The 25,474-nt window shown below is 43.9% G+C and overlaps 1 protein-coding gene across 41 annotated transcripts in view, besides 12 other annotated features; it reads right to left on the bottom strand.

The window, feature by feature from the left end:
* TMEM131L (transmembrane 131 like) overlaps positions 1-15,079 on the bottom strand; it is a 170,352-nt gene extending 155,273 nt beyond the window's left edge. For 22 of the 41 annotated variants that reach the window (XM_024453956.2, NM_001131007.2, XM_047449906.1 and 19 more), the window contains exons 1-3: positions 14,918-15,079; positions 14,158-14,228; positions 7,551-7,594 (exon numbers count right to left, since the gene is read on the bottom strand). In XM_024453956.2, coding sequence (XP_024309724.1) covers positions 7,551-7,594; positions 14,158-14,228; positions 14,918-15,041 — 239 coding nt within the window. In that variant the 5' untranslated portion in view covers positions 15,042-15,079. Of the gene's footprint in view, positions 1-7,550; positions 7,595-14,157; positions 14,229-14,322 lie in introns of all 41 variants that reach the window. The other 19 variants (XM_047449899.1, XM_011531780.2, XM_047449901.1 and 16 more) reach the window with 1 other exon arrangement.
* Positions 5,338-5,477: an enhancer, noted in NCBI's record as "active region_22060". NCBI's record gives its function as "activates an Ori minimal core promoter by ATAC-STARR-seq in GM12878 lymphoblastoid cells {active_cell/tissue: GM12878}" and the evidence as "EXISTENCE:reporter gene assay evidence [ECO:0000049][PMID:35858748]".
* Positions 8,280-8,369: an enhancer, noted in NCBI's record as "active region_22059". NCBI's record gives its function as "activates an Ori minimal core promoter by ATAC-STARR-seq in GM12878 lymphoblastoid cells {active_cell/tissue: GM12878}" and the evidence as "EXISTENCE:reporter gene assay evidence [ECO:0000049][PMID:35858748]".
* Positions 11,136-11,636: an enhancer, noted in NCBI's record as "H3K4me1 hESC enhancer chr4:154390955-154391455 (GRCh37/hg19 assembly coordinates)". NCBI's record gives its function as "activates a minimal SCP1, AML or CMV promoter by ChIP-STARR-seq in naive H9 embryonic stem cells {active_cell/tissue: H9 hESC(naive)}" and the evidence as "EXISTENCE:reporter gene assay evidence [ECO:0000049][PMID:30033119]".
* Positions 11,637-12,137: an enhancer, noted in NCBI's record as "H3K4me1 hESC enhancer chr4:154390454-154390954 (GRCh37/hg19 assembly coordinates)". NCBI's record gives its function as "activates a minimal SCP1, AML or CMV promoter by ChIP-STARR-seq in naive H9 embryonic stem cells {active_cell/tissue: H9 hESC(naive)}" and the evidence as "EXISTENCE:reporter gene assay evidence [ECO:0000049][PMID:30033119]".
* Positions 13,389-13,448: an enhancer, noted in NCBI's record as "active region_22058". NCBI's record gives its function as "activates an Ori minimal core promoter by ATAC-STARR-seq in GM12878 lymphoblastoid cells {active_cell/tissue: GM12878}" and the evidence as "EXISTENCE:reporter gene assay evidence [ECO:0000049][PMID:35858748]".
* Positions 13,389-14,068: a biological region, named in NCBI's record as "H3K27ac-H3K4me1 hESC enhancer GRCh37_chr4:154388523-154389188".
* Positions 13,403-14,068: an enhancer, noted in NCBI's record as "H3K27ac-H3K4me1 hESC enhancer chr4:154388523-154389188 (GRCh37/hg19 assembly coordinates)". NCBI's record gives its function as "activates a minimal SCP1, AML or CMV promoter by ChIP-STARR-seq in naive H9 embryonic stem cells {active_cell/tissue: H9 hESC(naive)}" and the evidence as "EXISTENCE:reporter gene assay evidence [ECO:0000049][PMID:30033119]".
* Positions 13,819-13,908: an enhancer, noted in NCBI's record as "active region_22057". NCBI's record gives its function as "activates an Ori minimal core promoter by ATAC-STARR-seq in GM12878 lymphoblastoid cells {active_cell/tissue: GM12878}" and the evidence as "EXISTENCE:reporter gene assay evidence [ECO:0000049][PMID:35858748]".
* Positions 14,379-14,738: a silencer, noted in NCBI's record as "silent region_15762". NCBI's record gives its function as "represses an Ori minimal core promoter by ATAC-STARR-seq in GM12878 lymphoblastoid cells {active_cell/tissue: GM12878}" and the evidence as "EXISTENCE:reporter gene assay evidence [ECO:0000049][PMID:35858748]".
* Positions 15,109-15,208: a silencer, noted in NCBI's record as "silent region_15761". NCBI's record gives its function as "represses an Ori minimal core promoter by ATAC-STARR-seq in GM12878 lymphoblastoid cells {active_cell/tissue: GM12878}" and the evidence as "EXISTENCE:reporter gene assay evidence [ECO:0000049][PMID:35858748]".
* Positions 15,249-15,398: a silencer, noted in NCBI's record as "silent region_15760". NCBI's record gives its function as "represses an Ori minimal core promoter by ATAC-STARR-seq in GM12878 lymphoblastoid cells {active_cell/tissue: GM12878}" and the evidence as "EXISTENCE:reporter gene assay evidence [ECO:0000049][PMID:35858748]".
* Positions 15,439-15,618: an enhancer, noted in NCBI's record as "active region_22056". NCBI's record gives its function as "activates an Ori minimal core promoter by ATAC-STARR-seq in GM12878 lymphoblastoid cells {active_cell/tissue: GM12878}" and the evidence as "EXISTENCE:reporter gene assay evidence [ECO:0000049][PMID:35858748]".

The raw sequence follows: 25,474 nt of genomic DNA, 5'->3' as shown, positions 1-25,474 counted from the left end.
AGTAATCAATGTAAAAGCTTTAAATGTAAAAGCATGAGCTTGCATTCCTTCTGCAGCTCTTCACCCAGTTGTCAGCCCTTCACCCATTCCTTCAGCTCTTCACCCAGGTGTCAGGTATGAGGTTAGGTGCTAGGGAGACAGGTGCATGAGACTCAGAAACTTGGGTACCCTGAGAAAGGTAATTTCCAAACAGAGGAGTAACGGCCTTCTGCTAAGATAAGTGCCAGGGTGCTATGGAAAGCAGGATGGAGGGAGATGGCTGGGGAAGAGAAAAGTGTTTTGGCAAAAAAAGAGAGCCCAGGTGAATGATCAGAAAGTGAGACTGGAGGAAGAGGTTGAAGAGGCCTCAATCCCCAAAGGGCTTCTACATCACTGATGCCATGCTCAGGACCCTGCACTTCGTCCCCAAGGTACTGCAGTCCATAAAAGGCTGTTCTTCAAAGGGATGACAGGAAAGGATGTAGGACAAATGGACGTGAGGAGAACAGGATGGGGTGGCTACAGAATGGAGACAGAAGACCACATGAAGACTCAACCACACCTCGTGACGGCAGGCACAGGAACTGGGGACAGCGAGAGGCCCAGAAGCTCAGTTCAGGACACAGTAATTTTGTGGCACCTGCAAGCTAAAGGAGAACTCTGGGGAGAAGGTATGATCCATGTTCAACTTCCTTCTATATAGAGAGTATATAAAAAGCCAACAGAGCAACAAATATATACACTGCTGTGTAGCCATAAAAAAATTTTTCTTTTAATTTTTTTAAAGCCAACAGAACAGGCTGGGTCACCTAGGTAGATGACAGGGTGGGAAGATAGGAAGGTCCCCAGTGGAACCCTGGTGAGATACTTCAGGTTAAAAAATGTGAGATCCTATAAACAGGGAAGGAACTTCCATTTCCTTTTTTTTTTTTTTTTTTTTTTGAGATGGAGTCTTGCCGTCACCCAGGCTGGAGTGCAGTTGCGCGATCTCAGCTCACTGCAACCTCCACCTCCTGAGTTCAAGCACTTCTCCTGCCTCAGCCTCTGGAGTAGCTGGGACTACAGGCTCATGCTGCCACGCCCGGCTTATTTTTGGTTTTTGTTTTGTTTTGTTTTCTTTTGAGACGGAGTCTCGCTCTGTCGCCCAGGCTGGAGTGCAGTGGCGCGATCTCGGCTCGCTGCAAGCTCCGACTCCCGGGTTCATGCCATTCTCCTGCCTCAGCCTCCCAAGCAGCTGGGACTACAGGCGTCCGCCACCACGCCCAGCTAATTTTTTATATTTTTAGTAGAGACGGGGTTTCACCCTGTTAGCCAGGATGGTCTCGATCTCCTGACCTCCTGATCTGCCCGCCTCAGCCTCCCAAAGTGCTGGGATTACACGCGTGAGCCACCGCGCCCAGCCTATTTTTGTATTTTTAGTAGAGACGGTGTTTCACTATTTTGGCCAGGCTGGTCTCCTGACGTCAGGTGATCCGCCCGCCTTGGCCTCCCACAGTCCTGGGATTACAGGCATGAGCCACTGTGCCCAGCCCAGAACTTCCATTTCTGAATAACAAAGAAAAGTGAGAAGTAGTTCCACTCCCTGTGGGGGCTCTGAAATGTTTCACTGCCAAAAGCGAGTGTCCCCAAAGATTAAGTTGTTCTTGTCTGCAATTGTATCTTCCAGTATGTTGCTGACAGGACAATGAGATTCTCTTCATGTTCTGGCTCCCAAGATCCACCTTTCACTGGTGTTAAAACTATTTCAGGAGAACACATTTTGCTGCTGTTACTACTAATCAGATAAAAGTACATTTTAAAAACAAAAAACCACCAAAAAAAAAACTTTCATAGACATTGTACCTAGACAGTATTTATGATTTTTGTACGCATTTTAAAACCTGAATATACTACTCATACATTGTCAATGCTTAAACTTCTGCTATTCAAATATAACTCAAAAAAAGGCTTACCAGAGAGAGATATATACAGAGAGCCAGACATGCTTCCCAGGGCATTCAGTTCTAGTAAGAGCTGAAGTCAGTTCCCCTTTGCTCTCATCACTGAATTCCCAAAAACGATCTTTCTCAGCAAAGGAACATATTACTGTTGATATTTGAGAATACCCAGGGAAAAATGGGGATGAAGAGGAAAGAGGGAAGAACATTTCTCAAATATTGCTTTTTTGGCTTTCGACCAAATACAATTACATAGCATCCACAGAAGATGAAGGCAGAATAACATAAACAAAATCTTCAATGAGGCCAATTACCCTGAAAGCTTTCCCAGACTTTGAGGTAACAGGCAAGCTGCTCTAGGAAGCCTGCTGCCCAGAATTCACACTGGTCCCGTTCCAGCCCCACCTTGGGCAGTCTTGCCAGTAAAACAGAGACCTCCTCACTCTTTAGATTCTTTCTGTCCAGTGATAGACATCAGCGCTTCCTTTACATTTGGGGAACATGCTAAGACTGTCTTACAGGCAAATTATTTCTCAAGTCCAAAGTTAGTAGTGACTCCTCTGTATGGGTTCTTAAGAGACAATGCATTCATTTTGTGGAACTGATAAATGGTGCTCTTCTATTAACTTTAAGTCCACCTGACCTTCATTAAGCTGGTATCGTGGGGTAGTTATTAAAATTAAAATCATAATAAAATTTGAAAAATGTGTAAACAAATGTTAATAACTTCATAAATAAGATTAAGGATAAATGACATTAAAACAGCAGGGCAAACCTAATATTGGATTATAACCCAAAGTATAAATATCCATGAGCTCACAAGATATAAATAAATGAGAACCGACAAATCTCCCATACAGAATTTCATATAATTTGTGTCGGTGAAGCTCAACTTCACTTAATGACTTGCCTCCAAAAAGAACATTAGGGAAAAACTAGTGAAATGTGAATAAAGTGTGGAGTTTAGCTCACAGTAAGATACTAATGTTGGTTTCTCAGTGACAAATGTACCACAGTAATATAAGACATTAACATTAGGGTTCACTGGGTGAGGGGTATACAGGACGTCTCTGTACTATCTTTGTAATTTTTCTATAAATTTAAATCTACTCTAAAGCAAAAGTTTTCTTTTCAAAGTAGCAAGAAATAAGGTGGGTTTTGGGGAAGTTACAAAATTAAGAAGGTAGAAGGTAAATGAATAGTAAGTACGTAGGTGACTAATTTACCAATCACAGAACATTACACTTACAGAGCTAATTCTTGGAGACAGCTTCAGAATCTGCATTTTCAAAAAATGGACACAAAGGTTTTTAAAAGCAGCATCCCACCCACATCATGATCATTTCTTTACACATGAGGAACAGACCTCAACCCAAAAAAAGCCAAAAGAAACAAAGAGGTTTGCAAGTCAAGTTTTTAAAAAGTAGAGATAAAATAGCAAAATACTGGAATATTTAATATCAGGAAGATAAAACATATAAATTAAGGTTGATCAGACTGTGAACTATGATGTACTGAGTTTTAAAATGAATCCAGGCAGGGATAGGAGATTGGAGGTTGATGGCTAAAGGGTAAGGCACTTCTTTCGGGAAGACAAAATGTTCTTCTAAAATTTATTGTAGTAACAGTTATACAACTCTGAATATGCTGAAAACCAACTGTGCACTTTAAATGGGTGAATTATATGCTACGTGAACAACATCTCAATCAAGCTATTACCAAAAAATAAATAAAGCCAGTAGGTGATAAAAGAAAATGCAATAGAAAATAGAATACATTGCAGGCAACAAGAGTGAGTACTATTTTCTGAAACTTTAATTCATTTTTATAAATAAAAAAGCACATAGATTATACACATGTATATATTCATACATCCATGTATATGCTTGCAAGTACACAGGCATGATGTAAAATTTTTTTTTTATATAAGTCATCGTCAAAAAGGACACTGTTCTCCCTCATTCCCACATCTTTCATTCTGATAATCTGATGCTATGTGAAAAGACCAATAAGGACAAAATCTACGAATATCTTAAAGTTTGATTTTTGAAAAAACTGGCAAAAAGAAACTAGTGCTGAATAATAAGAATGAAGAGAACTGCATCTACAAAAGAAAACAAATACAAAGGCACGTGCAACACAGCTCTCTATGGGCTGCACACACCCACACCTGGGTCTGCAGCCCTGGCCTCCGAGCTCCAGAGTGGTATCAACTCTACCTGCCATCTCCCTGTAGACGTGTCATATCAAGTCTGAGATTCCCAGGAGGCAGCCGAACACAGTTCCTGATTCCCTCCCACTAAATCCTTTCCCAGCACAGTCATCACCATCTCTCCAGACATTTAAGCCAAAATCTAGATGCTCTCTCTCCATGATTTCTCTTTCCCTCACACTCCACAACAAATTCAACAAGTAAAGGATCTGTCCCGCCTCAAGAATGTATCTCAAAATGTTCCATTTCCCTCCATCCACTTTCAACCCCCTACCCTGATATCAACATTCCTCAATTTTTCTTGCTCCCACACACCCAAAAAGGATGTTTAAGTTGTGTCACATTTACAATTGTGGGCGTTTACCAGCTGTAAAAATGTAATCTCTGCCACACTGTACGTACTGGCATTTTTAATAAAACTCACAATCCCTTTTTAAAATAAATTCAATGGAATCTAAATACCACTGAAATGATATCTACCATTATCCATTTTTTTAAATACAAAAATAAACTTCATGGCTGGATATTTTATGTTGTTCCTTTTCCTCCATGAACTCATTTCTATTCCACGTCACCCAAGGAATTTTTGGTTTTGTTTTGTTTTTGTTTTTGTTTTTTTTGAGATGGAATCTGTCTCCCAGGCTGGAGTGCAGTGGTGCGATCTCAGCTCACTGCAAGCTCCGCCTCCCGGGTTCATGCCATTCTCCTGCCTCAGCCTCCCGAGTAGCTGGGACTACAGGCGCCCACCACCACACCTGGCTAATTTTTTGTGTATTTAGTAGAGAGGGGGTTTCACTGTGTTATCCAGGATGGTCTTGATCACCTGACCTCGTGATCCGCCTGCCTCAGCTTCCCAAAGTGCTGTGATTACAGGCGTCAGCCACTGCGCCTGGCCCTACCCAAGGAATTTTAACTGAATACATAGTTATGTTCAAAGCCTTCTGCTACAAGACTATAAATATAAATTGAAATTTCAGGTTTTTAAAACATTTTTCCTATGACCATAGGTCTAAATATTAATTTTTTTCCTTCTGAATTAAGTTATCAATTCAGGCCAGGCGTGGTGGCTCATGCCTGTAATACCAGCACTCTGAGAGGCTGAGGCCGGCGGATAACCTGAGGTTAGGAGTTCAAGACCAGCCTGGCCAACATGGTGAAACCTCATCTCTACTAAAAATACAAAAATTAGCCGGGCGTGATTGTGTGCACCTGCCATCCCAGCTACTCAGGAAGCTGAGGCAGGAGAATCACTTGAACCCAGGAGGGGGAGGTTGCAGTAGGCCGAGATCACACCACTGCACTCCAGCCTGGGCAACAGAGTGAGACACTGTTTCCAAAAACAAAAAAAGTTATCAATACAATTTGTATTAGTACAGTCGAATCCCTGAGAGATTGGTTCCAGGACGTCTCAAGAATATCAAATTCTGAAGATGCTCAAGTCCCTGATATAAAATGGTATATAGTATTTGCATATAACCTATGCACATCCTCCTGTATACTTTAAATCATCTCTAGGTTACTAATAATACCTAATACAATGTGAATGCTATGTAAATAGTTTTTATACTGTATTAAGGAATAATGACAAGAAAAAGTCTGTACATATTCAGTACAGATACTTTTTTTTTCTGTATTTTCGATCCACAGTTTGTTGAATCCACGAATGCAGAAGTCACAGATACAGAGGGCCGACTGCATACAATTGATCAAACCAACAAGTTTTACAAATTTTGATAGGTAATTAAACACAGAAAGTAAAATCTTATTGAAAATGCATCCTTTAATGAGATGAACAGAGCTATTTTCCCCCCAACTGGTTGATGTGAACATTACCCACTACTAGAATGAGACAGGTTTTTTATCAACTTAATCCTTTCCTTTTTAACTTTTTTAAATGTAAGTACTGAAAAAGCTTGTAAGTACTGAAACAGCTTTATTACAGCACTATCCGTATATTCTCTAAACTACCTCAGTGTTTCATCTAAAAATCACACAGTGAGCCATCATTAAAAGTAACTTGAATGATCTATCAGTTGTCAAATTCATTGGGTCCTCCTTCAATTTTACTAAAAGGAACGATCTGAAAACCACCAAAGTTACTAAAGAATTTGTCATCCAATCAGAGTGGATCACTTTTTCCTAACAAACACCAATATTTCAAATTGCCTCTTTGCCCAAGATGAAGCCAACAGCAGGATTGGGGCTGGGTGGAAGATACAGCTTTCTTTTGTAACGTGGAGAAAAGAGATTGTGAAAGCAGAGGTGGAAAATGGTAACTTACAACTCAGATCAGCTTTAGGAGATACCTACACCCTGGGGGTCTGGAAGCGTAGTCCTTGCAAGTTATCCTCCCACTTATACACCACTTAGAGTGTCTTCGTGTACCTCTAAGGGACCCAGTTTGACAAGTGACCAAGACTGCCCCATGGTATTCTCTTAAAAATGGAATTCACAGGACCGAGTGCGGTGGCTCATGTCTGTAATCCCAGCACTATGGGAGGCGAAGTCGGGCGGATCACTTGAGGTCAGGAGTTTGAGACCAGCCTGGCTAGCATGGAGAAACCCTGTCTCTACTAAAAATACAAAAATTAGCCAGGCATGTTGACACACGCCTGTAATCCCAGCTACTTGAGAGGCTGAGGCAGGAGAATTGCTTGAACCCAGGAGGCGGAGGTTGCAGTGAACCAGGATCATACCACTGTATTCCAGTCCCCTGGTTAAAATTCTTTAACAATTCACACCACACTTAAAAACAAAACTCAAATTCCTTACTGCGACTTCTAAAGGACTACATACCTTATCTCACCATCCTACAAACCACACTGGCCTTCTCCAAGTTCCTGGATTGCCGGCAGGGCTTCCAGCCTTAGGGCCTTTGCACCTCCATTCCCTCTGACCAAAGCACTGTTCCCGCTGCTGTGTGGCTGCTCCTGTTTCCTCCAGGCTTCAGCTGGAATGTCACCTCCCAAAAGGAGCCCATCCACCTCATTATTCTCTACTACAGGAAACTAATTCTTGATAGCTCTTGTCATAAGCATAATTATTTTACTTACAGTAAAGTCTTACTTGCCCACTACACGAAACAGAGGTCTTGTTTGTGTTTCATGTTCAGCACCCAGCACGGTGCCTGGCACTCAATAGATGTTTATAAACAAGAGGGAGGGCACAAGCACATCATGGAAAAAGTGAAATTGGTGAGTGGCGAAGGAGGGGCTATTTCTAACAGCTTTCTAAACAACCTTATTTTAAAACAAAATCGTATTAATGTATTAGAAGGTATAGATACGACAAATGCCAAAGAGAAAGGTGTATTACAGATACTACTAAATACATAAACATGGACATATACTGAGACTTCAGAGAGCACCCAAAGTGGGCAGGGACATTCAGCATGCAGGTTTCCACCCCCATTTTTTCCTTACCTCTGTTCTTGAGAAGGCTCCTCCAGACCCTCTTCAGAATCACCCTATTGAAAAAGAACATGTGTTAACCGTTGTTTCTGTTTGTTCGTTTGTTTTTGAGACAGAGTCTCGCTCTGTCACCCAGGCTGGAGTACAATGGCAGGGTCTCGGCTCACTGCAACCTCCGCCTCCTGGGTTCAAGCAATTCTCCTGCCTCAGCCTCCCAAGTAGCTGGGACTATAGGCACATGCCACCACACCTGGCTAATTTTTGTATTTTTAGTAGAAACAGGGTTTCACTGTGTTGGCCAGGCTGTTCTCAAACTCCTGACCTTGTGATCCACCCGCCTCGGCCTCCCAAAGTGCTGGGATTACAGGCGTGAGCCACTGTGCCCGGCCACCCCTGGGCAAATCTTATAGTCATCTTGCACTGCTCTCCTCCCTTCACCTCCTACCAGAAAGACCTACCCACTCACGGGAAACCCAGTTCCTACCTGTCCTTTCTTCCAACACAGCAGCCCACACCATCAGTAGCCCCGGCTGTATTAGAAGACAAACGCAGCTTTCTTCTCTGCCTGCAGACTGCTGCCTGCAACCATCCGGTGCACCATCGCACTCTGTGCAGCAAAGACCAGTCTCCTCATATCATTCACTCCTTATCACCCTTATCACACAGTAAGGACCCAGCACTCAATGTCATCACTTCAGTCCCTGCTCAAGAACCTACTATGGCTCCCTCCAACTGGTCAGATGCACACCAAGCTCTTCAACAGCATACAGCACTGTCCCACACAGGCCCTGACACACCCAGCCCTACCCCTACAACCACATTGCGGCAAGCACCTGGGCTCCAATTTAAAATGTCCGAGGGAAAATGCTGAACTTAACTGTCTACCAGGCGAGGCTCTGGGCTAGGCCCCAGGCACACACTTGCTGCTGCAGATCTCTAAGGCCTCCCTTGTCCCTAAGCCTTAGCTGACCTCTCCAAAGCAGGGTGCCTCTTCTCTCAGTTCCTATATTTCAGCACTTGACTGTGGTCCCAGGGTATTACCAGTCTGATCTTGCCAACCACAAAGGGCAGGGACAAAAGCATGTAATTCCCCCACTGCCTCTTGGGAAGTGCCTCAGGGCCTTTGCACTGGCTGTTCTCTCTCACCACTTTCAAAGATTGGCTCAAATATTGCCCTTTCAGAGTGGTACACTTTGACCTCTTAAAACCGCAACTCACATCACCACCCCACATTGCCACCACACAACATGTATGCCCTTCGAACAGACTAAATAAATTTATTCTCTGTCTTGTTTACTGTCTATCTCTCTGCTTCCATTTAGACTGCAAGCATCACAAGGGCAGGTGTTTTTTGTTTTTTTTTGTCTACTGTAATATCCCTGACACCTAAAGCACTGCTTGGCCTGCAGTATGTGCTCAATAAAACATCTGCAGAGCTGAGTACAAGCCAGCTGTTTCTTAACTACATGTGGATATGACTATTATGGGAACTTCACTAAGCAACTTTTTCTAAATCAAAATAGAACATGACATGCTTTCCCCTCAGACACAGAAACTTTACCACCATAATAGTGCTTTTCTGGTCAAACTGTACTGAAACTCACACAACATACGTAATGGCTAAAAACTTGGGCTCTATAGTTAAACACTTACTCTCCTAGGACTGTCACTTTCTTATTACCTTGAGCCAAGTAATTTCGCTGTTCTGTGCCTCAATTTCATCATCTGTAAACTTCATAGTGTTTAGTGTGTTAATGAGTTAATACTCATAAAGCATTTAAATGATGCCAGAAGTGCCCAACCCATGTTAGTTATTTTTTTTTAATGTTGATGGAAGTTGATTAAACCAAAAATAAATCTCTATGACAAAAAGATTACCAAATACTGGTCAATGATTCACTGGAGCAAGATGCTATTACATAACACAGTACCTGTGATAACAAAAACTCTGTGTATCATTTCCTGTTTCACTTTCTACCAATTTCCGTTATCTACACCCTCTGACTTAAGATGCGGGAAAATAAACTTGATATTTTTAAAGGCAGATTCTTTCTTATTCATCACTGTATCTCTGGAGACCTAACTGGGCCCGCCCCAAAGGTCCATCTTTGCTAAATGAACAAGTAACGGCAGTGGAGCACTGAGCCTGCCCAGCCCTGCCTAGCACCAACATGATTCTGTATCAGGTAACGGCTGCTCCTACTCAGCACCTGTCCCTGGTTCCCAAACCTGCTAACCAAGGGGCATCAGGAGTGAGCCTTCTCTTCTCAAAGAAGTCTGGATGGATTGAAAGAACAGATTCTAGACTGCCCTTCTTGCAGCTAGAACTGATTTTTAAAAATGTGATTGTCAAACAATACTAGGAAATAACCATTTAAGGCATTCCACCTGTTACCTGCAGACTTAGCCAACCTCATAAATAGGGGAACTCGGCAAGACACTGACAACTGCCTCTCCCGCACTAGGACGACTTCATGGGCAGTACTGAATGTCTACTGTATGCAGGACACTGTGGCCACAGCAGGGCACCAACCCTTAGCAGCCCAGCCCCTCAAAGGAGAACCCAGTTAAGGCAACAAGACATGCACAAGACAAAGGAGAAAAACGAAGACATGGGCCGGGCACGGTGACTCACACCTGTAATCTCAGCACTTTGGGAGGCTGAGGCAGGCAGATCACAAGGTCAGGAGTTCAAGATCAGCCTGACCAACATAGTGAAACCCAGTCTCTACTAAAAACACAAAAATTAGCCGGGCATGGTGGCGCATGCCTGTAATCCCAGCTACTCAGGAGGCTCAGGCAGGAGAAGCACTTGAACCCAGGAGGCGGAGGTTGCAGTGAGCCGAAATTACATCATTGCACTCCAGCCTAGGCGACAAGAGCAACACTCAGTCTCAAAAAAAAAAAAGAAAACAAACAAAAAAAACCGAAGGCACTACAAGAAACTCAAAGAGGGAGAAACGATGACAATGCCACTGCAGGGCAGGAGTCAGGAAGGACAGGCCCTGAATGACCAGCGGGGCTGTTGCATTCATTAATTCAACAGATACGTGTTGGACATGCTTGGCCAAGGGTGGGGCTGGAGTGGGCGTACCACAGGACTGACACGGAAGGCCCTGCAGGACAGAGCAGGTCAGGTGGACATCACCTATGCGTGGATCACATGGAATCGCAGTTTCTGACTTTGAAGGCAAAGTAAGAAGGTACACAAAGCCGTATCCTGCACACACCCAATTACTTCTTGAAAATAAGCTAATGAAACACCTGTTTGGTTTCCACACCATCACCACTTTGCATTCAGTGTGTTCAAGTACAGTCAGAGCAGAGGAAAATTTCTGTAAATGTAAGAATAAAATCATATATATTTTTCCTCCTTCCTCTCATGATCACCATGGATATACAGTTTGTATGTTCCTACACCAAATGATTTTATGACATGAGAGTATATAACAAAAAGATATGACTAGTACAACTTTACAATCATAGAGCACACAATAGTGCTGAGTTATCTGTACTATTCAGACCTTTCAAAACAAGAAAGCCGTTCATGCTCTCCAATGCCCAAGTCTACCAGTCAGCTCAGGGACCACTAAAATATTAGGTAAGCTACAGTAGGTGCTCACTAAGTTCCAGGCACTTAATCTTCTCAAAGTCTTCTGAAACCAGCACCATAATTCCCCAGACTTTGCAGATGAGAAAACAGGACAAACAGGTGAATTTATGGAGCTAAAAAGGGATAGGGCTGAGATTCAAACCCAGGAGACCTGGCCAGAGGTTCTGACAGTTTACAACAATTTAGTTGTCATATATGGTTTTACTAATAGTAAGTTAGTCTTGATCACTTAGAGACCTGTCATTAAAAAAAAAAAAAGACTTAATCAACAGGAGACATCTCCAAAATAAATAACTATACAAACAGTGTTGGCAAATATGTTACTGGTTTTTTTGTTTGTTTGTTTGTTTGTTTGTTTTTTGAGACAAAGTTTTGCTCTTGTTGCCCAGGCTGGAGTGCTTCAGCGCGATCTCAGCTCACTGTAACCTCCGCCTCCCAGGTTCAAGCAATTCTCCTGCCTCAGCCTCCCGAGCAGCTGGGATTACAGGCCTGCACCACCACGCCCGGCTAATTTTGCATTTTTAGTAGAGACAGAGTTTGTCCATGTTGGTCAGACTGGTCTCAAACTCCTGACCTCAGGTGATCCACCCCTCTCAGCCTTCCAAAGTGCTGGGATTACAGACGTGAGCCACCAGCCTGGCCAGTATTTTATTTAATGCCACATCCTCTAAAGTTCCTATTTCATCTACTACTGACAAATCTTAGCCTCTGAAGCCATCTTTCAGTCTTCCTGCATGAAAGAAACCCAATGTACTGGTTAATTAAGCAGAAAACCCTCAAATTTAAATTAACACCTATAAATATTCTCTTTTCAACAGACTCCGTTTGACACATATGAGGGAATTTTTGCTGAAAAAATTCAAAATACTTTGAAAATAATTCACTTAAAATAACTTTCTTCAAAACTCTCTGTAGCTTATGAGATATATATACACACACATACACACGTGTGTGTGTGTGTGTGTGTGTGTGTCTCCCTTACCCTTGGGCCCAGGTATAAGCAGGGCAAGATAGTTTCTAAAAGGTATACGTAGAGATATGGATGAAGTATTTAGAAAATTATTTTGAAAACCAGTTTCACTTTCATTATAGCTTTGATTAAAATAGCTTAGCTATAAATCCCTCTATACTGAATATCCCAGACAGCTTCTGAATTCTGACATCTATTATCAAAACAAATTGTATTATACAAATAAACCAGAAATTAAGAATTGTATAAAATAACTTTTGAGCCCATAAATCAAATAATCATTTAGGCCTTGACATTTCCATCTCTGAGCACACCTACTAAATCTTCAACTAACGCTCTAACAAATGAGAGTATATACTACTAGACTCAATCACCTATAATTTACTTTCCTTTTAGTCTGGGTTGGCTTCCAACACTAGCCAGTAAGAGATAGAAACTATAATTGAGCAAAAATGCAAATACATATACATAGATATACACCAGTGCTTCTCAACCAGGGCAGTTTTGCTCCCCAGGGACATCTAGCAATGTCTGGAAACATTTTTAGTTGTCAAAATCAGGAGGGGGTGGGGGAGAGGGGGAAGCAGCAGTGAGTGCCACTGGCATCTAGTGGGTAGAGGCAAGGGATGCTAACTGCTCAACATCTCACAGTGCACAGGACAGCCCCCACAACAAAGAACTCTGTAGCCCAAAATGTCACCAGTGCCACTGTTGAACAACTCTGATATACAAAAACATAATTTTTTTAAAATAAATACATCGCGTTAAATGTCGTTCTTGCAGTAGGAATACGACGGATTTCTATTTTGTTCTTTTTATATTTCTGTATCTTCCAAACCTTCAAAAACACATGTATATTATTTAAAATCGGGGAAAAAATCCATTTGGGAATAAATTTTTAGGAGAAGGAAAAACTATCTGCTCCTCATCCTGATGGGGCCCTTTCTCAAAAGACCTGTCTCATTCAGGCTGCTGGCCTTCAAGGAGGGTCCAGGAAAATTCTCCTCTAAAATCACCTCTCTGCCTTGAAGCTGTTATTCATTAGCCCTGATCAAAATGAATATTCTAAATATCTCAAAACCAGCACTCTGAATGTTTCACATAGGAGGGAGAAAACTGAAATGTAAAACTGGACAGCCTCTCCGGTAAAGTTATAGCTAGACATCCTGTTTTTCTAAACAGCCGCAAGACACAACACAGAATTAAGTGCTGCCACCACCGTGGGAAGTAATGAACATCTTAAAAAGTACTGCACACAAGCTAAATATTTCCTTATAATTCAAGCCACTCCCACCCAAAAAATGCATTTTGGATCACTACCGTTACTGGTGAAAGGCAGTCAACAACATTATATTTAAATGTGCACACTTCACAGTCAATGGGAATTTCTTGTAAAAGTTAAAAGCTTTGCAGTACTGTATCTGTTGCAGCAATAAACCCTCTATGATGCTACAGATTCCCAATAAAACGTCAGTAATTATTTTTCTACACGCAATCATCATATCATCATACAGAGAAAAAAACCAGAAATTCAAGTTCTTAAGTGGGTGTATTTTAACAGGAATTAAGGGCACTTGGAGAAAATCCAAGATGACAATCCTTGAGAGTCACATCTCCATCCCAAAGCTACTTAACGCTAATGGCAAATACCACTCTAACATTTATGAAATCAATACTCCTGTTGTCCTCAACCTCTTAGCCACTTGCCATCCACACAGCACCAGCTCACTTAGGGAACAGTGTGCACCCAGGACACCCACGGCCGAACAGACCGCTGGCCGCTTCCCTGCTGAGGTGGCCTGGGTTCCCACCTTCTGAACTTGGGGCCGGCCTGCCTCAGGCCCTGTCACATGGCGTGGGAGGAGCCGGGAAGGCCACCGTTGCCAGGTGTTCAGGCTCGGCCCCTAACGTTTATTTGCCTTGCAAAGTGGCCCGAACGCCTGTGCCGCTTGGACAGGGGGTGGGGAGGACCGGGGGCCTCCCCGCCTCTCCTCCCTCGTACACCCACAGCCGCCCTGTCACCTGGTCGTCCTCACCTGAGTGGGCAGCAGGAGTTCCCCTTCTTCTGCCTGCCACAGCTCCACCACGTTCGGCAACGGCTCAATCGCTGCAGGAACACCAAAAAATACACCACGTTTTTAATGCACGCTAAAGAAACGCTTCCTGTTTCCCCTACCGTCCCTCCGTGCCCCCCGCCTCACCAAAACACGTCTCTTTTTCCTCCTGGGAACAGAGGCCATCCCAGGGGCGAGCCAAGGATAAAAATACAATGGGTGGGGTGTGAGCCGGCGGCCCCTCGGACGCGAAGGCGACAGCGTGCAGGCAGGCTCGGGGTGCTCGTGCTGGGGGTGGGGGGACGAAGTGGGAGTGAAGACACCCCACGAGGCACTCCGGGCTCCGCAGCCCGAGCATCTGGAGTGTGGACCCTGGGCGGCCAGGCTCGGGGGAACAAAGCTGCAGGAAGCCGGGCCGCTGCGGGGCACCCGCGCGCGCCACACAAAGCGGGGGCTGCGCCCGGGGCGCAGGGGCCCGCGCACAAAGGCTCCAGGGCGCGAGCGGCTAGCGGTCCCCAAGCCCCGCGACTGCCCCGCTCTCCAGCTGTACGGGGCAGAGAGGCGCGGGACGGGACGCTGTGGTCAGAAAATGTTATCAGCGGAGAATCGCAACAGCTTTCCTTCCTCCTCCTGCCCCTTTCCCTTTCCTCCCCTCGCCCTCTTATAGATTTCAGCAGTTCCCTAAAAGAAAGAGCGGGGGCGGGGTGGAGAGGCAGAGCGAGCCCAGCGGCGCAAGGCTGACCTTGTCCCTGAGCCCCTCCCGGGCGACAGCAGGGCAGCAGGACCTGGAAGACGCCCAGCAGGAGGTTCACGGCCGCCGCGGTGCGGCAGTAGCAGCCGGGCTGCGGGCGTCGGAGCCCCGCCATGCTGCTGCTCGCGCTCCTCTCCGTTGCTCGCCGCGCTCGCCGCTAGCTCGCTGGCGCCCCAGCTGCCTCGCCCCGGGCCCGCCCCCGTGCCGCCCCGCCCCGCCCCGCCCCGCCCCGCCCCGCCCCGCGCCGCACCACCCCCGCCGCTGCCGCAGCTGCTGCAGCTCCAGACCCGGGCGCGCCGCTTGCTCTGAGCGCGTGTGCGCCGCAGATAGGGAGGGACGGAACGCGGCGGGGTGCGGGGGAAAGTGGACAATGCGAACCCGCGGGTGCCCCGCCCCGGCGCGGAGCACATGGCCGCGGGCCCGCCCCGCAGCGCGCACTCTGCGGGGCCCGGGCGCTTTCCTCGGCTGGGACGGGGTCGCTTAGAGCTGTCCGCGGGGACTAGCGGCCCACTTTTGCCAAGTGCATTTTCATGAACTTTTGGGTGGTTGCCGCTTTGTCGAGGCGCTTGGGCCACGGTCGAGAGATTACCCTCGAGGGAAGAGGTGGCGGTGGAGGTGGGAACGAGGAGTCGCCAAGCGAGAGGCCTTGGACACAGGATATTAGTGGAAATAATGCAGTGGTTGTCAGGAAACGCGAGTGCAGCCACATGGCCACTGCCAGTTATGCAGCGAGGATATCCGGTGGCTGCAAAGTCTGTAATTTAGAATAAAAAGAGCTCTCCCAAAACCCGAGAGGCAGACCTCAGCGCCGCGTGGCGGTAGTGCGCCCGGCACCCTCTGTGGACACTGTCCAGGTCCTGACAGGTGGGGAAGACTCTTCCTAGGGGATTTATAGCTTCAAAGACCCTGCAAATACTCCCTTTTGGAATCATATTGCAAAATTCAGCCAGCCTCTCCTGAAATATGGTTGGGGTCGAGGATGTGGTTAGTTGCCTGTTTCTAACATTAGTAGGATAATGGAAGTAATACGTGGAAATACATTTCCTAGTTCCAGGTTTTGATGCCTATAACTAACAAGTCCAAAATCTGGCATCTCTTTAAGTTAACATCCTGCCTTTACCAGCGATGTCGCAAACAAGGGCTTATTCAGAAATCAATTTGCATAACCTAGAAGTATGGGCAATCTTATGATTTTTTAAAGTTAACTTACTGCTTCCACTGTAGCTTGTATGAAATTCAGAGAATATGAACAATATAGTATGAAGAGGGGAAGTGATGGGACACACCTGTTTACCTTAATCCTCTGTTTAATTGCTCCTTGTGCCTTACAAGCCAGACTATAGAAAACCAGTGCTTGCATAGCAGACACAATCCTGAGAAGGACAAAATGAAATCTAGATCCTCTTTCCTAAAGACGTAATACAGTACTGTGAACACAGTCTCACACACTGTCTGCATTTAACTCCAAACAAGGTTAAATAGTCTAATTGCTTGGCCAGACTTAACATTTAAGTAGATTAGCATAAACGTAAGTTGTTGATGTGAAAAAAAAAAAGGGACACTTTGCATTTTCCAACTTGAATACCTCCAGTAGTCTCTGTTTCATACTTTTTTCTGTATTCCTTGCCAACATCTTCCTTTATTTAGCAAGGATCTCCAGTGCCATCTCAATGTGCCCTTTTTTTCTCTTCACTTCTCCAAGTTTCTATTTGCCCCTTGGATTCTGAAGGTCCCCCACGCAGTTAAAGGGACCTCCAGTGACAGGAATATTTGCACAGCCCACTTAAGCAGTAACTGCACCTTCAAAGTTTGCTTCTAAATGAAAGTTCTCTCATGGGCCTATTTATTTACAGAATGTAATTTTAAGTCCTCATATGAGTATAATACGTATAAAGGAAAGCAAGCAAACATTAACAGCCTAACCGGTTTTGTTAAACAGATTCAAAGTTGTGATACAAAACTTTTTTGCTAACATTTAAATTACTTTACTCTTTTACTAATAAAGTCTTTCCCACATTAACGAGTATCACAGCATCAATGGAAATGACTTAAAAGATAGACTAACATTGCTATGGACCATATGTAAATACTGCTATAGCTTTTTCTAGACTTTGTAAGGCCAGCTTGATTTTTCAAGTTGTGGTCTTGTGGACTTTACAAAATGGGTAATGCTATTTGACTGTTGTTCACAGAGCCAAAAGCATGTATCTGCTGTGCCATGGGGTTGGAGAGGGATACGGGATTACACAGCTGTCTTCTTAGATAAATCTGACCTACTTAGCCTCCTCTGGAGTTATTTTTCATGCTGACTCATGGACAACAGGAAAGTTATGGCCCATTAAGCAGCATCCATGTTTTGGAGTAACCTTGTTCTTCAAAGAAGACTCCTGTGTCATTTGTGCTATATTTCCATTATTCCCCTTGTCAATCCTAGATATTGTCACAGAATATTAGAGCTGGAAATTTTTTAGAAATCATTTAATAGCCCAACTGCCTCATTTTACAGAAGAAACCAAAGCCCATAGAGAATTTTAAAATCCAAGTTATAGAACTCCTTTAAAAATTTTTATTTATAAATTGTTTTGAGACAAGGGTAGTGATGAAGAAAAAGGCTAGGTGTGGGAAATACCTAGATCTAAACACTAATAATAATTTTCTCTAAAAAGCCAAGGAGTCATATTTAATTCATCTTTCCTTTACACCCTTTAAATCTATGAATTAGTCCTATGGTGCCCTACTCTGTACTATTTCCCATACCTAGCCTTTTTCTTCATTACTACTCTGATCTCACTCTTTCACCCAGTCTGAAAGGCAGTGGCCCAATCTTGGCTCACGGCAACTTCTGCCTCCTTGGCTCAAACAATACTCCTGCCTCAGCCTCCCAAGCAGCTGGGACCACAGAGGCAGGCCACCACACCTGGCTGATTTTTGTATTTTTGTAGAGACATGGTTTCACCATGTTGCCCAGGCTGGTCTTGAACTCTTGGGCTCAAACAATATACCCACCTCAGCCTCCCAAAGTGCTGGAATTACAAGTGCAAGCCACCCTGTCCAGCCAGAGCTGCTTTTAGTGGCAGAGTTATGGAGAAGTATATATGAAATAATGTTAACTGAAAAAAAATTAATGTAAACACAAATTAACTCAATATGAAAATTATAGGCCAGGCAAGGTGGCTCAGGCCTGTAATTCCAATATTTTGGGAGGCCAAGGTAGGAGGATTGCTTGAGCCCAGGAGTTCAAGACCAGCCTGGGCAACATAGTGAGACTTTGTCTTTATAAATTTTTGTTTATTTGTTTGTTTGTTTGAGATGGAGCCTCACTCTGTTACCCAGGCTCGAGTGCAGTGGCGTGATCTCAGCTCACTGCAACCTCTGCTTCCTGGGTTCAAGCATTTCTCCTGCCTCAGCCTCCTGAGTAGCTGGGATTACAGGCGCCCACCATCATGCCTGGCTTTTTGTGTGTGTGTGTGTATTTTTAGTAGAGACCGGGTTTCACCATGTTGGTCAGACTTGTCTTGAACTCCTGACCTCGTGATCCACCCACTTCAGCCTCCCAAAGTGCTGGGATTACAGGCGTGAGCCACCGCACCTGGCCCAAAAATTTTTTTAAAGAGCCGAGCATGGTGGCACACACCTGTAGTCTGTATTCCCAGCTACTCAGGAGGCTGAGGTGGGAGGATTGCTTGAGCCTAGGAGTTCAAGGCTTCAGTGAGCCAAGATTGCACCACTGCACTCCAGCCTAGGTGACTGAGTGAGACCCTGTCTCCAAAAAAAAAAGAAAAGAAAATTATATACGCACAACTAAAGTGTGGAAGAGGCATTAAGGTGATGTCTTAGTGGAGTATATCAATGTTAAGTTAGATTCATATAAGATAAAATGGTTTTGTTTTTTTTAAAAAAAAAGACCTATGAATGGCTAAATCTCTACTGGCTTTTATTTATTTATTTATTTACTTATTTATTTTTCTTTTCTTTTTGACATAGGATCTGGTCTTGAATTGTTAGGTTTAAGCAATCCTCCTGCCTTGGCCTCCCAAAGTGATGGGATTACAAGTGTGAACCACCACACCCAACCTCTAGAGGACCCTTCTTACTATAACTTTATTCCATCTCATCTTATAATGCCTCAATTAAATGCATTGGATAAGGATAAGGATTCTCTCCTTTCTCAAACTCTGTTGTGTTAAACAACTGACCTTTTCTGTTATGGGACTGTAATGTAATTTTGGGTGAGTAGCAGCAGTATTCACAGTTTATTCTCTATTTTAAAAAATATTCATAAAACTGTAAAATAAAGAGTAAGTTTTACTGTAATTTAAAAATAAATTGATTAAATTAGAACTTTAACTTTGTGAAAAGTTTGAAAGTCTGAAAAAGTTTAAAGTTTGAAAATGAAAGACAAAAAATTTTTTTATTTTTACTTTATTATACTTTAAGTTCTAGGGTACATGTGCACAACGTGCAGGTTAGTTACATATGTATACATGTGCCATGTTGGTGTGCTGCACCTGTTAACTTGTCATTTACGTTAGGTATATCTCCTAATGCTATCCCTCCCCCCTCCCCCCACCCCACGACAGGCCCCAGTGTGTGATGTTCCCCACACTGTGTCCAAGTGTTCTCATTGTTCATTTCCCACCTATAAGTGAGAACATGCAGTGTTTGGTTTTCTGTCCTTGTGATAGTTTACTCAGAATGATGGTTTCCAGCTTCATCCATGTCCTTACAAAGGACATGAACTCATCCTTTTTTATGGCTGCATAGTATTCCATGGTGTATATGTACCACATTTTCTTGATCCAGTCTATCATTGATGGACATTTGGGTTGGTTCCCAGTCTTTGCTATTGTGAATAGTGCCGCAATAAACATACGTGTGCATGTGTCTTTATACCAGCATGATTTATAATCCTTTCGGTATATACCCAGTAATGGGATGGCTGGGTATTTCTAGAAACTGGTATTTCTAGTTCTAGATCCTTGAGGAATCGCCACACTGTCTTCCACAATGGTTGAAGTAGTTTACAGTCCCACCAACAGTGTAAAAGTGTTCCTATTTCTCCACATCCTCTCCAGCACCTGTTGTTTCCTGACTTTTTAATGATCGCCATTCTAACTGGTGTGAGATGGTATCTCATTGTGGTTTTGATTTGCATTTCTCTGACGGCCAGTGATGATGAGCATTTTTTCATGTGTCTGTTGGCTGCATAAATGTCTTCTTTTGAGAAGTGTCTGTTCATATCCTTCGCCCACTTTTTGATGGGGTTGTTTGATTTTTTCTTGTAAATTTGTTTAAGTTCTTTGTAGATTCTGGATATTAGCCCTTTGTCAGATGGGTTGATTGTAAAAATTTTCTCCCATTCTGTAGGTTGCCTGTTCACTCTGATGGTAGTTTCTTTTGCTGTGCAGAAGCTCTTTAGTTTAATTAGATCCCCTTTGTCAATTTTGGCTTTTGCTGCCATTGCTTTTGGTGTTTTAGTCATGAAGCCCTTGCCCATGCCTATGTCCTGAATGGTATTGCCTAGGTTTTCTTCTAGGGTTTTTATGGTTTTAGGTCTAACATTTAAGTCTTTAATCCATCTTGAATTGATTTTTGTATAAGGTGTAAGGAAGGGACACAGTTTCAGCTTTCTACATATGGCTAGCCAGTTTTCCCAGCACCATTAAATAGGGAATCCTTTCCCCATTTCTTGTTTTTGTCAGGTTTGTTAAAGATCATATGGTTGTAGATGTGTGGTATTATTTCTGAGATGGTACTGGTACCAAAACAGAGATATAGACCAATGGAACGGAACAGAGCCCTAAGAAAAAATTGTTTAAGAAAGCTAGAATGTGGTTTATATATGATGCCTTGGGTGTGGTCCTGCTAAATATTTAACTATGATTGAATGAATGATAGATGAATGAGAAGAAAACAGTCACCTTCCCAGCCTCCCTTGCATCTTGGCATGGCTATGTGGCCTAGTTCTGGTCAATGAAATATAAGTAGACTTCTACTAGGTTGGATTCAAGGAAAGCTGTTGTTTTCCTGATGAAAAGGAATAGACTAACACAAGCCTTTTGCTCCGTGTCCTTCTTCCTGCTGGAACACAGATGCGATGCCCAGAGCCATCAGGCCCAGAGCCTGATGCCTGATGTCAGCCATCAGGCAAGCCTGATGAAGAAAGTTACATGCTGAGGATGGTAGATTGGAAAGGCAGGAAACATGTGGATCCTTGGTGGAATTATGGAATTGTAGACTGCTTTTAGTCATCTTGTTTTATAAGCAAAAGTAACCCTTTCTATGGTCAAGTTTTCTGTTACTTTCAGCCAGAAATATTCCCAAGTGACAGAAAAAAAAAAGGTCAATCAAAACAAAAATGAATGTAAACAATGATCATTAACAAAAACCAGTCTCAATGATGTTAACAGAATGTGCATATGAGACAAATAGCAAATAGTGCTTAGTTTATTTTACAACTGCAAGTAAAAACAAACATTTTATGTCAATTAAATTAGCAAAATAAATCAAAGTACTAAAAGTACCGATTAGATATCTGCAGAGAAACAGTGCTTTTTTTTTTTGTTTTTTTTTTTTTTTTTGAGACAGAGTCTTGCTCTGTCACCCAGGCTGGAGTGCAATGGTGTGATCTCGGCTCACTGCAACCTCCGTCTCCCGGGTTCAAGCGATTCTCCTACCTCAGCCTCCCAAGTAGCTGGGATTACAGGCGCCCACCACCATGCCTGGCTAATTTTTGCATTTTTAGTAGAGACGGAGTTTCACCACGTTGGCCAGGCTGGTCTCCTCCTGACCTCAGGCGATCCACCTGCCTCGGCCTCCCAAAGTGCTGGGATTACAGCCATGAGCCACCACACCCAGCCTTGCTTATTAGTTAGTAAATTAGTTTATTCTTCCAAGGACAATCTGCTATTACCAGGACCGTCACCTTAAGTGTATGCCAACGGCACTCCTGGCATGTGCCACCTATAGCTCTGGATACCATCTGTGATCATTTCCCCCTACCTCCTCAGTCTGCTTTCTTGCCTTTTCCTCCTAAGGCCAATCTCTAAAAGTAAGAGTACCTCAGGTCTTGGTCCTTGACACTCTTTATTCTTTCTCTGGATTCACTCAGCTAGCCCTGTGTCTTTAAATACTATCCCTGATATGGTTTGGATATTTGTCCTCTCCAAATCTCATGTTGAAATGTGATCCCCATTGTTAGAGGTGGGATGAAGATGGTAAGAGGTGTTTGGGTCATGGGGGTAGATTCCTCATGAATAGCTTGGTGCCCTCCCCATCTCTGTTAGTTCACACGGTTGTTTAAAAGAGCCTGGCACTTCCTCCCTCTCTCTCTTGCTCCTGCTCTCCCCATGTGACATGCCTGCTTCCCCTTTGCCTTCTGCCATGATTAGAAGCTTCCTGAGGCCTTCACTGGAAGCAGATTCTGGTGCCATGCTTTCTGTACAGCCTGCAGTACCTTAAGTCAATTAAACCTCTTTTTCTTTATAAATTACCCAGCCTCAGGTATTGACTTGAGCAATGAAAACAGACTGATACAGTCTCAAATTATACTTTTAGCCCTGACCTGAATTTCCGCACACAAATATCCAATAAGGTTTTTTCCTCTGAATTCTATGGTGCGTGCTTGTAATATATTTTCCCATCCTGTTATTATACTTTTAACCAAACTTGTCTATTTAAGTGTATCTCTTCTAAACAGTAATAAACATCTTAAACCCTAACAGGTCCAAAACTCTTGATTCCGCCTTTCCAAAGCTGTTAAATCCCCAGTCTTTCTAACTTCAAGTCAACAACACCACTACCTACCTAGTTGCTCAAGCCAAAAGTCAAAGAGTCAGCAGGGCATGGTGGTGCACGTCTGTAGTCTCAGCTACTCAGAAGGCTGAGGCAGGAGGATGGCTTAAGCCCAAGAGTTTGAGACCAGCCTGGACAAAGAGCAAGACCCGCATCTCTAAAAAAACTAACAATCATTTTCTTTAAAAAGCCAAGGAGTCAGGCCGGGCGCGGTGGCTCAAGCCTGTAATCCTAGCACTTTGGGAGGCCAAGGTGGATGGATCACGAGGTCAAGAGTTCGAGACCAGCCTGGCCAACATGGTGAAACCCCATCTCTACTAAAGCTACAAAAACTTAGCTGGGCGTGGTGGCACACACCTGGAATCCCAGCTACTTGGGAGGCTGGGGCAGGAGAATCGCTTGAACCCAGGAGGCAGAGGTTGCAGTGAGCTGAGACCGTGCCATTGCACTCCAGCCTGGGCGACAGGGCGAGACTCCATCTCAAAAAAAAAAAAAAAGAAAAAAAGAAGGCCAAGGAGTCATATTTAATTCCTCTTTCCTTCACAGCCTTTAAATCTATCAATTAGTCCTATGGTGCCCTCCCTCACACTGTTTCCCATACCTAGCCTTTTTCTTCATCACTACCCTCATCTAAGAACTCATTTCTTGGTCGGGCACCGTGGCTCACGCCTGTAATCCCAGCACTTTGGGAGACCAAAGCAGGCAGATCACTTGAGGCCAGGAATTCAAGACCAGCCTGGCCAACATGGTGAAACCCCCATCTCTACTAAAAATATGAAAATTAACCAGGCGTGCTGGTGCATGCCTGTAATCCCAGCTACTCAGGAGGCTGAGGCAGGAGAGTCGCTTGAACCCAGGAGGCAGAAATTGCAGTGAGCCAAGATTGTACCACTGCACTCCAGCCAGGGTGACAGAGCAAGACTCCATCTCCAAAAAAAAAAAAAGAAGAACTAATTTCTCACATAGACTCCTATAGTTGCCTTCTAGTGGTCTCCTTGCTTCTACTCTTGCCCCTTATATCTCAATTTTATAAGTGCCAAAATGATCTTTTAAAAATACAATTCAGATTACGTATACAACCCTCCAGTGGTTTTCTATACGATTAGAATGAAATCCAAACTTCTACTCTCGCCCCTCTTGAGCCTGTGAGGTCAAGGCTGCAGTGAGCAATAATGCTGCCACTGCACTCCAGCTTGGGCAACAAAGTGGGACCCCGTCTCAAAACAAACAAACAAGCAAACAAACAAAGTATTTCTTATGTGTAAGGAAAAGGGAGAACAGTCACTGAGCACTTACTTTGCATGCATGTCTTATGTAAACCCCACAAAAATCTAATAGGAATCATGTTACTGTCCTTATTTTACATGTTAGAAACTGAGACTGAGAGGGGTAGGTAGCCAATCCAGAGTTAAAATTGACCTCCAACTTCATTGTGCCGTACTGTCTCTAAAGACAAAGAAGCAGGAACACACTTTGAAACTTCCTTTTTTTTAATGTTTTAATTCTACTTATTTTAGGATGCTCATAGGTAGAAAAATCTATGAAGGCCCGGCTATAGTCATTAAGTTACTGGCCGGGCGCAGTGGCTAACGCCTGCAATCTCAGCACTTTGAGAGACTGAAGTGGGTGGATCACCTGAGGTCGGGATCCAGCCTGGCCAACATGGAGAAACCCCGTCTCTACTAAAAATACAAAATTAACCGGGTGTGGTGGTGCATGCCTGTAGTCCCAGCTACTTGGGAGGCTGAGGCAGGAGAATTGCTTGAATCTGGGAGGCGGAAGTTGCCGTCAACCGAGATCACGCCACTGCACTCCAGCCTGGGCAACGAGCGAAACTCCGTCTCACACACACACAAAAAAGTAAGTTACTATTGTGACATATAGCTATAAAACATACCCCGCCGCAAAGCCGGGCGCGGTGCCCCACGCCTGTAATCCCAGCACTTTGGGAGGCCAAGGCGGATGGATCACGAGGTCAAGAGATCGAGACCATCCTGGCCAACATGGTGAAACCCAGTCTCTACTAAAAAAAATACAAAAAATTAGCCGGGTGTGGTGGCGGGCGCCTGTAGTCCCAGCTACTCGGGAGGCTGAGGCAGGAGAATGGCATGAACCCGGGAGGCGGAGCTTGCAGTGAGCCGAGATCACGCCACTGCACTCCAGCCTGGGTGACAGAGCAAGACTCCGTCTCAAAAAACAAACAAACAAACAAACAAACAAAAATACCCCCCCGCAATATCATCTCCAGTTGATAAATTAAGGGCAGTACAAAATCTAGTAAAATCTGTCATTTTTCTTTTGAGTCTCCACACTTTTAAACATAGAATTCTTGTCCCTCTGCATACTTTTTCCCCCTTTTTCCTCTACATACTTTTGTACATACTAGCTTATAGTCTATTGGGAAAGTTATCTGTGTAAACCTCTAAAATAATAACTGCATTAACATACTTAATGGTTTGCACTTATTATTGAAATCTTCTACTTGTGGATTTGAAATGCAGACCAGGGAGTAGAATCGATCTTTCTTTCTTTCTTCTCTTTCTTCTCTTTCTCTTTCTTTCTTTCTTTCTTGCTTGCTTGCTTGCTTGCTTTCTTTCCTTCCTTCTTTCTTTCTTTCTTTCTTTCATGACGGAGCCTCGCTATGTCGCCCAGGCTGGAGGGCAGTGGCGCGATCTCTGCTCACTGCAAGCTCCGCCTCCCGGGTTCACGCCATTCTCCTGCCTCAGCCTCCCGTGTAGCTGGGACTACAGTTGC

The sequence above is a fragment of the Homo sapiens genome, chromosome 4 (genome assembly GCF_000001405.40).
Source record: "Homo sapiens chromosome 4, GRCh38.p14 Primary Assembly".
Taxonomy (NCBI): domain Eukaryota; kingdom Metazoa; phylum Chordata; class Mammalia; order Primates; family Hominidae; genus Homo; species Homo sapiens.
This window is presented reverse-complemented; position numbering and strand designations above follow the sequence as displayed.